At 39.4% G+C, this 14,023-nt stretch overlaps 1 protein-coding gene across 1 annotated transcript in view, besides 2 other annotated features; it reads left to right on the top strand.

Moving 5' to 3' along the window:
• Nucleotides 4,935–5,679: an enhancer, noted in NCBI's record as "H3K4me1 hESC enhancer chr12:86237739-86238483 (GRCh37/hg19 assembly coordinates)". NCBI's record gives its function as "activates a minimal SCP1, AML or CMV promoter by ChIP-STARR-seq in primed H9 embryonic stem cells {active_cell/tissue: H9 hESC(primed)}" and the evidence as "EXISTENCE:reporter gene assay evidence [ECO:0000049][PMID:30033119]".
• Nucleotides 5,680–6,424: an enhancer, noted in NCBI's record as "H3K4me1 hESC enhancer chr12:86236994-86237738 (GRCh37/hg19 assembly coordinates)". NCBI's record gives its function as "activates a minimal SCP1, AML or CMV promoter by ChIP-STARR-seq in naive H9 embryonic stem cells {active_cell/tissue: H9 hESC(naive)}" and the evidence as "EXISTENCE:reporter gene assay evidence [ECO:0000049][PMID:30033119]".
• RASSF9 (Ras association domain family member 9) overlaps nucleotides 13,231–14,023 on the top strand; it is a 35,707-nt gene continuing 34,914 nt past the window's right edge. The window contains exon 1 of the mRNA NM_005447.4: nucleotides 13,231–13,485. Coding sequence (NP_005438.2) covers nucleotides 13,439–13,485 — 47 coding nt within the window. The 5' untranslated portion in view covers nucleotides 13,231–13,438. The remainder of the gene's footprint in view (nucleotides 13,486–14,023) is intronic.

Genomic DNA, 14,023 nt, shown 5'->3' with positions numbered 1-14,023 from the left:
TCCATTCTGACACTACTGTAAAGAGCTGCCTAAGAGGGTAATTTATAAAGGAAAGAGTCTTAATTGACTCAGAGTTCTGCAGGGCTGGAGAGGTCTCAGGAAACATAATCATGACAAAGGGGAAAGTAAATATGTTCTTCACATGGCGGCAGGAAGGAGGATTGCAGAGCAAAGTGAGGAAAGTGCAGAAACCCTTATAAAACCATGAGAACTCACTCGCTATCATAAGAACAGCATGGGGAAACATCCCCATGATCTAATCACCTCTCCACGGGGTTCCCTCTCCCAACATGTGGGGGTTACAATTGGGATTACAATTTAAGATAGGATTTTGGTGTGGACACAGAGCCAGACCATATCAATAGTGAATATGCAATTGATAGAATGGGAGACAATATCTGCAAACTATGCATCTGTAAAGGTGCTAATATCCAAAATATATAAGTAACTCAACTCAATACCAAGTAAATAAATAAGCCAATTAAAAGATAGGCAAAAGGGCCAGGCGCAGTGGCTCACACCTGTAACCCCAGCACTTTGGGAGGCAGAAGTGGGCAGATCACCTGAAGTTGGGAGTTTGAGACCAGCCTGACCAACATGGAAAAACCCTGTCTCTACCAAAACAAACAAACAAAAAAACAAAAATTTATCCAGGCATGGTGGTGCATGCCTATAGTCCCAGCTACTAGGGAGGCTGAGTGATGAGAATCGCTTGAACCCAGGAGGTGGAGGTTGCGGTGAACCAAGATCGCACCATTGCACTCCTGCCTGGGCAACAAGAGCAAAACTCTGTCCAAAAAAAAAAAAAATATGCAAAGGACTTGAATAGTTATTTCTCCCAATGAGACAAAATGCCCAACAAGTGTAAGTGTGTGTGTGTGTGTGTGTGTGTGTGTCTGTATGTAATGCTCTACATCAAGGGAAATGCAAATTAAAAAATTAAAAACACAATGAGATGTTGCCTCACACCTGTTGGAATGACTACTATAAAAAAAAAAAGATAACAAATGTTGACTAGGATGTGGGGAAAAAGAAGTCCTCACACAGTTAGTGGGAATGTAATTATGGAAAACTGTACGGAGGTCTCTCAAAAAATAAAAAAATAAAACTGCCATCTGATCCATCAATTTAACTACTGGGCATATATCCAAAGGAAAAGAAATCTGTATTTCAAAGAGATATCTGCACCTCTATGTTTATTGCAACATTATTCACAATAGCTAAAATGGGGAATCTACCAAAATGTCTATCAACGGATGAATGAATAAAGAAAATGTGATAAATATACACAATAAAATAGTATTTAGCTATAAAAATAAGGGAATTATATGGTTTTTGACAGCATGAATAAACCTGAAGGATGCTACATTAAGTGAAATAAGCCAGGCACGAACGGAAAAATACTGCATAATCTGAAAGAGTTGAACTCAGATAAGTAGAAAGTAGAACGATGGTTACCAGGGACTGGAATGGTTTTGGGGGTGGGTGTTTGGAAATGTTGATAACAGGACACAAAGTTTCAATTAGACAGGAGACATATGTTCAAGAGATCTCTTGTACAACATATTGGCTATAGTTAACAATATATTGTATTCTCGAAAATACTGAATGGATGTAAAGGGTCCTTATGACAAAAATAACTATGTAAGGTGATACATATATTAATTAACCAAGTTAGTCATTCCACTATGTATGTATACTCCAAAAAATATTTTGTAAATAGTAAGAACATACAATTTTATCTGTTGATTTAAAAAATAAAAGTAAAATGTAGCAATTTTTAAAAATATACTAAGATCTTTACTACAGTGTTTGCTTTCACACGTTCAGGCCAAGACATTCTTTCATTGCACACAAGTGGTTATAATCAGGAATTGTTTTGTGAGAATGAAGTCAGCAGAAAGGCTGGTAAATAATAAGAATGTTTTCTGGCACCTGGTTGTGGTAATACAGTACTTTATCTCCACATTAATAATAGCTGGTATTTATGGAGTCATTGTTTTCTTACAGCATCTCTATGGGATTCAATTATATCCTGCTTTACAAATAGAGACACGGAGGCCCAGAGTTTGAATAAGCAGTTTGTGGTGGAACTGTGCTTCAAACACATGTAGTATAGCTCAAGAGTCCAAGTTCTCAACCATTCTGCTATAAACATATGCAGGGTCCACAATATGTAAGTACCTGATATATAGATTCTTGGGATGGCAATACTTGTATCGAGATTGCTTGGGTGCAGCACTTCTTTCTCTCTCTTTTACTCTGCTTCCAGTGTGTGGCCAATGTCATTTTAACTAAGGCATTATTTATTTAGATGTGATAATGGAGTCAATCATGTCTCAGTGAAGTTTTGTCAGGTGGCTTTGAATAACTGTTCTTAATTTATTATTGTTAATGTACAGGGAGATTGCAATCTGGAACACAGTGGATGGCGTCTGCATTCAGAAATGTCATATTTGATTTTAGATTTTTAAGAATATAATTTATTACCATTCATTTAATATGACAAGATTTCACTTTTGAAAAGTCAGATTTTTAGGATTTCTCTCTCGAAAAAAAAATCAGAAACTGCAGAAATAATGGACCCATGTTCCACATAGGGGCAATCTGCTAGAGCTATTTAGGTCACTATATTCATTAGCATAACCTGTTTAACACCCTTCGGAAATTTAGTTAGAGGCCATTGATATGTAGTTTCACTTGAAAGAAAAATATTCGCTGACATCACTTTGTAAAATTGTCTACAGATCTACCTTATTCTTTTAAACATTTGTATCAAAAGGTCCATAATTGGGGTGTGTTTTTGTATTTAAACATTCACTTATTAAAGTACATTCAATATATTTCTTTATACAAGAGGCTGCCTATTGTAATTGCTAAAAGCACAGCTTTATATCTCTTCTCTGCCTCTTAGTAGCTTTGTAACCCCAAGCAAGTTATTTCACATCTCTCTTCCGAGTTTCCCTTATCATAAAACAGATTTGAACATGAGCCTATCTCATAGGCTTTTGTGAACATTAAGGCAAGTGCCTGACATATAATAGATAGTTGTTAGACAATTCATTTTTTACTATTGCATGCAATGATGCCAAAATATACCTTCTGGGGCATTTACAATGTTGAACTCCTTTAGGTTAGATTTTTAGAATTAGAACCATTAAGTAAAAAAAGAAAGAAATGTGCACTTTAAAGTTTTACAGATGTAATTTTGGAAAATTATTCCCCAAGCAGGGAGTTTCAATTAAATACACATCAATAGTGTGTGCCTGGTAGATAATGGGGAGGATTATTCTTTTAAAATTTGGCCAATCTAATGTTTAAAAAGTGGCTTGCTTTTGTTGTTTTATGCTACCTTTCTCTGATACCTACTAAGTCTAATTGTAACAGTTATTTAACTCTGTGTAACAATTTACTCCAAAACTTAGCATCTTGGAACATTTATTAACTAAAGCAGTTTGTAAGAGTCAAGAATCTGGGAGCAGCTTTGCTAGATGCTAAGGCCTCAAGATGTCTCACGAGATTGCAGGTAAACTGTAGACCAGGGCTGCCATCTCTGAAGGGACTGGAGTATCTAAATTGACTCCTATGGCTATTGGCAGGGGGCTTCAGTTCCTCACCATGTGCACCTCTCCATAGGGCTGGTCACAAAATGGCTTCCCCCAGAGCAAGACAGAAGCCAGTCTTTTAAAACCTAATACTGAAAATGATACACCATTACTTCTGCCAATATTTGTTAGAAGCTAACCCACTTTTATTCATTACAAGTATTTTAATAAGACCTTCTACACTTGGCCAGGCACGGTGGCTCACACATGTAATCCCATAACTTTAGGAGGCTGATGAGGGTGGGTCATTTGAGGTCAGGATTCAAGACCAGTCTGGCCAACATGGTTGAAACCCTGTCTCTACTAAAAATACAAAAATTAGCCGGGTGGTAGTGGTGCATGCCTGTAATCCCAGCTACTCGGGAAGCTGAGGCAGGAGAATTGCTTGATCCTGGGAAGTAGAGGTTTCAGTGAGCCGAGATTGACAAATGTGAACAGCTTACCTGCAGTTCTAGCTTTTTAGCTGCCCTGCTTTCTATTGCTCTCAAAGGTTTCAATCTCAAAAACTAGGTGAACAAAGTCAGATCTGCGACCACTGCCCTAACAAGCTCAGACCCCTGCAAGTGCAGAAGAAGTAACCTTAAGGTCATGTAGTCAAACATTACTTCCTGATGTTCTCTCAGAAACTCGCACACTTAGCTAGAATCTGAAGATCCATAGTGGTTGTATTTTGAGTGGTTTCCAGAAAAAAATCCTTGCTCATAAGCCTGCAGGTTTTTCTGTTGAACTCTAGTGAGAAAGCTGTAACCTGAGAAATTTCTTATGTCACAGGATCCTTCGGGTGTCGTTTTTCTGGCCAGAAACCTCTGTGAACAGTGGTATCTTTGCCGAGTTTTGCTTAGGTCCACTGGGCTTGTTCTGCCCACTCAGCCTGGTAGGCTGTGCTCGGCTCACGCTACCTGCCTGGATTCCATTCCTGCTAAGGCAAGCCAGATGTGGAGTGGTGAGGTGTGTGAGAGCAAGGGAGCATGGGGTCCGACCACTGCACAAAGTCAGGCACGCTGGCTACTGCAGTGGATGGGCAGCTCCAGGTGCTGGCATGGGCACCAGCTCACTGAGAGGCTGTGGCTGGACCAGGTACACTGCAAGCAGCTTCCATGGCTGACACTGGGGAATGTGGTGGTGCCGAGAAGCTTGGAGACTCCAGGACCTGCAGGGCCCCAAAGAGAGAGTAACAGCCCTGGCTCGGGGAGCTTCCCAGGTCTGGGGTCCCCGAAGGGCCATAGTTCTTCTCTCCCCTTCATCTGCAATGTGGTGAGCAAGGAGTGTTTCAGCCCTGTTATAGCTCTTTCAACCCTGCCATTTGGCAGGTCCTGAGTTCTTGTCCTGCCTCCAAGAAGAATGAGGTATGTGGACAAGTAGAGGGTGAGCAAGTTGAAGAGGAGCTTTACTGAGTGCCAGAATAGCTCAGAGGAGACCCTGGAGTGGATAGCTCCTCTCTGCAGGCAGGTTGTCCCATCCAGTGTTCAACTGTCAGCTGAGAGGAGGCATTGGAGTAGGTAGCTCCTCTCTGCAGGCAAGTCATCCCATTGTCTCCCCAATTCTGGCTGAGTCTGGGGTTTCTATGGGCCTCAGAGGGGAGGAAGTACCTGCTGATTGGTCCATGGGCTGCCATGGGCGGGCACAGGAAAAAACACCACAAGTTCCCTCTGTGGTCCAGGAGACTGGCGCCTGGCCCCCAGGCTTTAGGCTTTCCCCAGCCGGAAGGTGGGGCTTCACAAGGGACCCATCCCTTTCTTCCTTGGAGCCTGTCTGCCTTCTACTGCTTTCTATGGTGCCCAGGCTGTTCATGAAGAAGGTCCAGGCAAGCCAGTGCCGAGCTTCCCTCAGTCCCCACTTGGCCTCCCTCTTGTGCTTATCAGAGCCCAAAGTCCAGAGGGGGCTGAGACAGCAGAGGTCTGGCATGTCAGTGCTGCCCCAAGTGTGTACACACCCGACTGGGCTGTGACAGCACCGGGGCTCAGCCCCAGTCTTGCTCTGAGATCAGAGCGGTGCCGAGAGTTGGGAGAGGCCAGGCAGTTGGAGCTGACACCTTCAAGCCTGCTGAGGCATGAAAGGGGGTATTTCTGGATCCCCAAGACTTAGAGATGCCCAGGTCCTCAGTCACGGCTGGGGTAACTGCATCTGGGCCCGGAAGGGCGGGGCTCCCGCCTCTTTCCGGCCCCCAGGAGCACAGGGAGGCCCAGGTCTGCAACTGTGAGTTGGGTGGCTTCAGCTGTGCCCAGGAGGGCAGACAGGAGGCCTGCTCCCAGCCTCCAAGAGCACAGGGAGGCCCGGGTCCGCAGCCATGGCTTGGACAGCTGCAGTTGCTCCCAGGGAGCTCCTGCCCTGCCACCTCGGTAGGGCGGGGTTGCCACTTGTCCCTGGCTCCCGCTGGCTCTGTGGAGCATGCAACCCCGGCTGTGCCTTCCCATTGCAGCCTGAGCCGTGGCAGCGGCTGCTTCAGATGGTCTGCCACTGCTATTACTTACATTTGGATTTGGATCACTTTTAGCATCACTGGTATCTTTTCAGTTCAATAGGAAACCTTAATTCATTGAAAAATTCTGTAACATTGCTGCTCAAAGGGTAAGTGTGGATTCAGAACCCTGCGCTTCCCAGGAGGCTCCTAGGTGCAGGTGCAAATCATCCACCTCTTCTTCCAGAATACAAAAGCATAGTAAGAGGGGGTAGTTTTTACTCAAAGGGCAAATGGTACTATGGTGTCCTTCTCCAAGGAAAGTCAGCCCAATTTCATCTGCTTCATATTATTGGTGTATTAGTCTGCTGTCATGAGCAAATGACACAGACTGGGTGGCTTCAACAACATAAATTCATATTCTCACAGTTCTAGAGGCTAAAAGTTCGTAATCAAAGTGTCCAAAAATAGTTTCTGGTAAGGGTTCTCTTCCAGGCTTGTAGATGGCCACCGTCTCTGGCTGAATCCTCACACGACTTTTTATCTGTTTATGAGTAATGAGAGAGAGAACTCTGCTGTCTCTTCCTCCTCTTGTAAGAACACCAACCCTATCAGTTTAGAGACCCACCCGTATGCCCTCATTTAACTTTAATTATTGCCATAAAGGCTCTCTCTTTAAATACAGTCACATTGGGTTTAGGGCTTCAACATATGAATTTTGTGGAGGACACAATTCAATCAGTAGCAATTAGTATTAGTGCTCTGATACATATGAGCCTATGATGTTCTCCATATCATAAGGAAATAAAATTTGTACAGTGTTGAATTCACATTACATTCACAGAATCTTTAATAAGTCTTAAAAAGGAAAGAGTCCCAAATCTACTTAATAAAAGTAAAGTATCACTTAAGGAAAATTTCCAAAGGCAATTAAGTGATTATATTATAATTATAAATTATTATTTTTGTTAACAGCAATAGGTTGGTCTTGATTTGGTTTTGATTAATTATTCAATCATCACATAGCTCTCAACCTCACTTTTCTTATCTGTAAATTTGAGATTCTATTTTCTTTCCTGCTCAGCACGCTGTGACCAAATAAGACACCAAATATAAAAATGCCTATGTAAAGCACTACAACATAATATTATATCATTTACCATAGAAGGTGAATGTATATTTGATGGTGTTTATATACCTATATGCACATATTTTATGTTATGTGCATATTTTGTGTTTTATAGCCTTCAAAATTTCTTCAAAGTAGAGCAATTTCCACCAGTAGCCAGGCTTATATGGATTTATCTCATTAGATACATTAGATACATACTCATTAACACATTAGATACATTAGATACATACTCATTAATAACAGTCATAGCTCCTAAGTGAAGACATTTGGCCTTTTATTTAGGACACAGGTATCTGGCCAACATTCAGCCAGTTAGCTACTCAAATATTAAGTTTAATTTATTAAAATCTATTTTTAATGGAATCGCCTATTGTAACTGGATGGCTAATTATACTATCTGACTATATGTAATTACTTCAAAGCTTAGTAGTGCCATTCTGAACTTCTATAGAGAATCAAAAGAGCATTGATACCATAGAAACCTAGAGTTGAAAGGGAATCCCTGCTTCTGAGATATACCTAATCCATTCAAGATAGTTATTTCTTCTATGCTTAAAACCTTTTAGAGAGGTTAATTTACAACCCATGACACCTACCATCCATATTTAAAAGGCTTTGTGAGAGAAGCCTCATCCATTCCAATTTTTAGAGACAGTTTCCTATTACCATGAGCAAATTTAAGACAGGAACGAACTGCTGAAGATAGGTACATGTAGATAATGATAATAATTGTAGTAGCTCTGGTATTCAATTTAAGAATTTATTTTTACTGACTTTTGGGGGCTTTCCTACTTTTTGTTGTAAATGGCTTTGTTTTGCACAATGCCCTTTTGCCACAACCTGTTGTCCGAAGATTCTCACTCAAATTATGGTCCTACCCTCTGGCCAGCTCTAATTATTTCTGAGTTCTTCTCTCTCTTTTCCATACAAAAGAAGTTCTATTTTATTATTATTTGCTTGATTGAGAATGGGATTTTGAGTAAATCAGATAAACTGATTGATTATAACAAGCTCTCTAGTATGTTATTTCCTCACAGGTTACCGTGTAAGTGGCGACAAATTGGCTCACAGTCAAGTATCTGTGTAATCAGAAGAATTTCAGCTCTGCTGTTCTTTTTATGAAGGCCCTGGGGACAACTGGCTCTTATCACAGATGCCTATTGTAATTATATCAGTAACCCAATTTAATAATTAAAATGTGAAAAGTAAATTTCTAGCAATAAGAAGAGAGCTCATCTTTATAAGAGTTTTTTAGAAGAAAAATTCTCTCAGACTTATATTTAATAAGAAAATGAGGTTGCATTATTATTATTTTCTCCATTTATCAGATCAGAAAACTGAGGCTCGGAAGGTTAAATAATTTACCCAAGGTCTCTACTAGGAAGTGACAGAGCTGTGACATGGATCCTTGTCTGTACAGCTCCAAAACTTAACACTCTTAACTCTCACGCCATATCTGCCGCCCCTTTAGTGAAGTCATGTATACTAAAGCTAAAAGTCAGAAAAGCTTGTGTAATAAAGAGCCTTGAATGATAACCTACAGAGTTTGTGCTGAATTCTAAGAGTCTTTAAAGGATTTAAGATGAAAATGAGAGTGATATTTTTAAAACTTTAGTTTTATAACGTATTGCAGGAGGAAGAAAATCAAGACATTGATGTAAACGGTCAGGGAGCTGTACAAAGACTTTGCTCTCCATTCTTTGCATGCATTAGATCAGCCCAAATAGTTGTGAAATTTAATTGTCAGAAAGGAAATTAATACATCTTCATATGGGTCAGGTGCAGTGGTTCATACCTGTAATCCCAGCATATTGTGAGGCTGAGGCAGGTGGATCGCTTGATCCCAGCAGTTCGAGACCAGCTTGGACAACATGTCAAAACCCCATCTCTACAAAAAAATACAGAAAATGGCTGTGTGTGGTGGTGCATGTCTATAGTCCCAGCTACTCAGGAGGCTGAGGTGGAAGAATCACCTGAGTCCCTTAGGTCAAGGCTACAGTGAGCCAAGATTGGTGTCACTGCACTCCAGCTTGGGTGACAGAGTGACACTATCTCAAAACAAACAAACAAACAAATAAGACTTCATATGGTAACAGGCCGGGTCTCTACCAGACTACATGTTTTAACAATGCCTAGCTTTTGATATCAAGTCAACCAAAGATTAAATAATTTTCATTTAATTGCGGAGAATATACATTTATTCTTTTTCAGGTATAATATGTCATCTTCAATGTTGATTTTTCATATGTTAATCTATTTGAAAGGGAATACATCTTTTCTATCTATTTTGTCTGAGCTTCATGTCATAAATGAATGAAAGGACATTATATTTTCTACTATCAAACATTTTTTGCACATTTTATGGTTTAAGAAAAGTAGAAATTATATGGATAAGTAGCCATTTTTCTTCTATAAAGACTTCTTATTTGTTCAGAAAAGGGATTAATGTATTCTCATAGTTTTTCAGGATGTAATTTTCAGGAAGCCAAAACATGAATTTCATACAATTATGTAGCGAGCAAGTGACAAAATTGACTTAACTCATTAGTGAAGGATCCAGCAGAATTATAAAGCTGGTCCAAAAGAGAGTAAGAAAGACTGTTACGGATAAACAGTGAATTAAAGACAGAATGCTGAAAGAAAATTAAATAAATGTAAAGTTGGTTGATGTTCTACAAGGCAATAAAACTACAACTTTTGTGTTATCTTTCCTACTAGATAAAATAATTAGTATTGCTACTGAACAACAAAATTTACTCTTTTTTAAAAAAACAATTTAACATCTAATCTCATGGACTCTCAGCCTAATAAAAATAGTAAGTAAGAAAAAATGCATTCTTCCAGAGAATCATTGAAAGGGTCTATTAGACAATAGTCCATTATATCTTTGAAATAACATGCAGTCATCCATTTGTTTTATTTTCAAGTGTGAGATAATTTATCCAACCCTATAATAAAAATAGTACTTAGGTTAACACTATATGTCAGCGATTGGTACGCATTATTTCATTTAGTTCTCAGAATTAATATCAATTAGCATAAGACTTTTTCTGAAACTTATTATTTTCTTCCAAGAAGTTTTTATGAGAAAAACTTGAATGAGAGTTTGAATATTTTGAAGGTTATTGCTCTACATAGCCAAATTCATTTCTCAAAAAAGATATGCCAATTTTTAATATTTATGCAGAGTAGTATACTATGATCATCATATGAACACTATTGAGCATCATCATTTTAAAAAGTAGTCAATTTGGTAGATGTGAAACAAAGTCTTGTTTCAATGTAACTATACAATACCTAGTTACTAGTGAAGGTTACTTAAAAGTACTAGTACATATACGGGGTATATATTTATGGGGTACATGAGATATTTTGATACAAGCATACAGTGTGTAATAATCACCTCAGGGTACACGAAGTTTTCAGTTCTTCAAGCATTCATTATTTGTGTTTCAAACATTTTAAATTGTACTCCTTCTGTTATTCATTATTCTAAAATATACAACAAATTATTGCTGATTGTAGTCAATTTTTTAAAGCATGGTTTTAACTGGACATGGTGGAACATACCTGTAGTACTAGCTACTTAGATGAGAGACAAAACGATTTCCTGAGTTCAGGAGTTTGAAGCTGTAGTGTGTAACAATTGTGCCTGTGAATAGCCACTGCACTCTAGCCTGGGCCACACAGGAAGATCCTAACTCAAAAAAATAAAAAAATTAAAAATTAAAAAAAAACAATGGTTTCGTTACTTTCTTTTAAGATTGCTTTTGCTTATTTTTCTATTAAGGCATTAGTATTCATGTTTTTTTTATTCCTTTCCACTTCTACTATCTGAGAGACATTAACCCTTTGTGCTTTTTCTTTCAGCTTTATTAAGGTATAATTGTCAAATAAAAATGGAATATATTTAATGTGTACAAACCCTTTTATGTGTAATTCTTATACATCAAAGAGCTTGTCATGAAAAATATTAACAGGGCATTTTGTGTGAGGATTAATGACACCTAAATGAAACTCATTTGTGATAACCTGAAACTCAACACAAGATTATGCTAGTAAAGACATAGTATTGTTTCCTCATTCCCCATTAAAACTCTTTTATTGAAAAATATAGTACACATATGTATATAAATAATGTTACTAAGCATGGAGAACCGAAACTAAAGGAAACAGGGATATTTGCAAATGTGAAATTATTTGCAAATTGACTGCAACAATTATATTAATAAGTAAACAGTATAGCTTTAAGGGATTACATTTTGAAGAACTTAGAATAACTAGGTAAACTTCCATAATAGTTTAAATCATTTCTTGTGAGGTGCTAGTAAAACAAAATCAAGAACGGAAACAGAAATACACCCAAGATTATGTAGCTTATGTTGCATGTGAAGTGCATATATACATAGCATGTAATACATATATATATATACACACACATATATATACTTATGTTTACAAAGATGAAGATGTTTATACAGATGTTTATACATGTATATATGTGTACATATATACATATATATACACAGAACATGTCATTACTATTTTTGGTGTCTTGATTTTCTCTGGAATCACTGACCATATCAAATTAAGATGGGTATGTATTTTTTAGTTATCCTAACTCCCAGGGATATAAAAAGGTAACTAAACTTTAACATTGGCTATTGTAATGTTTTTCACTTCATAATGATTTGGGTGCATATATGGATATAATATATGATTTATTATATAAAATTATAAAGAAAATATTATAAATAATGAAATAGTATAGGACACATGTGTATATGCACATACAGAAACATGAAATATAGATGAATAGAGAAAGATTATGATAATAAATAATGAAAAACATGATTTATCTGAGCACTGCATAAATCAGTGTGTATCAGAATCATGGAAGACCTTGAGATTATTTTTTTGTTTGGTGTTGTTGGGGGTAGGGGATAAACTCCCAAAGTAAGTAGGAGCGATTCATATTCTTTGCCAAGGCTCAGAAAGAACTCACAAGTTTGTTGGCTTTCCTTTCCCTCCCTCCCTCATCGTCTGCCTGGGAAGCCCATGATTAGAAGCCTGGCGGGGTGGAGGGTGGTGGGGTGGTTTTAGGAGGGGCAAAATCCCAGTAAAACACGTCCATGAGAAAGCTCTCCTGGCCCTTGCCCCTAAATAGTGCTTTCCCATGAGTGCCAGGTACCTGGTGGGAGCTGCGCTGGGCCTCCCACAGGCACCCGAACTCTCCCATCTCCATTCCTCTGCCCTGCTTCTGGATTCGAGCTCTCCTGGGACCAGATGAAGCCCTCCCTCCCTTAGACTTCCACTTCACATTTCGAGCTCCAGCAGATCCCCTCGGTGTGTCTTCTTTACTCCTTGAGGGGCAGGAGCAGTTTGCTTTTCCTCTGAAATTCCCAGGGCTCTAAAGGCCCAGTGAATGTCAAAGATGGGGTAGGGGTCAACATAAACGCCTTGGGAGTCAAACACTAAACTCCAGCTGGTTCCTAGACCAAACTGTGATGCATCAGCCCTGGAGCCCTGTGGTCCTTCAGGTCCTTCGACTTTTGCAAGATGAACTTGAGAGTGTGGAGCAGGGGCCTGGAAGAAACTCTTAAGACCGTGAACTCAGGGACTTAACAATTCTAAGTGGTCTGTGAGTCCACCTTGATCCGGTTTCCAGCTTCCCTCTCCCTAATATATTTTAAAGTCCTGACACCCTGGCAGGGGATCTGGGGTCGAATGAGTTGGCAAAGAGAGTTCTCAGCAATCCCTCATGCTTGCCATGATCAGATGACTTTTCACAGACTGGAGCTGACCAGGAGTTGGGGGATATTTACTTTTAATCCTTTTATGTGTGTTCAGTACACCTTGTGTGGTTGGGTGTGGAAAGCGGGGGAGGGGGGATTTCCAGATCGAGTGAAACTCCCGTTCCATTGGTATTACCATGCTTGTGGGGTTGGCAGTTCTTTAAGTCTGCAAATAACTACAGAACACAATAGAGTCCTCCTCCCTTCCTCTCTCTCTCTTTCTTTTTTTTTTTTCTTTTCCTGCTTCCAAACGCCTTCTTCGAGGCTGAAGCTGGGCAGGTCTCCAGAGGTGCAGCAGCCACAACAATCCCGCAGTTCAAAGTTAAGCAGCAGTTGCACAACTTCCAGCAACTTTCTCAGCCGGCTACTAATGAGCTGAAAGCCAGGAACATCCGAGGAGAAGAGAAAGCTTCCAGCCCTCCTCCCTTCACCCTGGAAATCCAGACACCCCCACCCCCACCCTCAGATCACTTTAAGATAATTTCTTTATTCGTTTGCCCGACAGACCATGGCTCCCTTTGGAAGAAACTTGCTAAAGACTCGGCATAAAAACAGGTAAAGTCAAGCGTGTGAGTAAGTGTGTGTGTGTCTCTGTGTGTGTGTGTGTCTTGTGTGTGTACTCTGGACCCTACCTGTGAAAGTATGTGTTTTGTGGTTGTTAGATTCTGATAAAAAAAGGCTTCGTGGGGACACAGTCCTAGCCTAAGGAGTTAGGCTAGTATGAATACCTAGATAGTAAGGATATTCTCCCAGTATTGATGATGGGAGTGACCAGCTCAAGGATCGCAGAGAATAAAGAGTGATTATATTTGACTCCTTTCTCCCCTTTTGACCAGTCCTGTTTCCACAACTAGCAACATAAACAGTTTCTTTTTTTGTTGCCCTGGGCATTTGAGGGTAGTACAATAAAAAGTGTCATTTTGTTTCAACAGAACTTTAGAATATTGTAGAAATAATTAAAACTTTGATAAAGATGTAACTAGTATTTATAGCCACTAAGTAGGATGAAAAATAAAACTGCTGATACAATTCAGAAACAATGCTTTGGCTCCCCTGAGAGTGAGGCATTCCTGAAACCTGGAATGTTCCCAAA

Source organism: Homo sapiens, chromosome 12 (assembly GCF_000001405.40).
Source record: "Homo sapiens chromosome 12, GRCh38.p14 Primary Assembly".
Lineage (NCBI taxonomy): Eukaryota > Metazoa > Chordata > Mammalia > Primates > Hominidae > Homo > Homo sapiens.
Note: the sequence above shows the minus strand (reverse complement) of the source record. Positions and strands in the feature narration are given on the sequence as shown.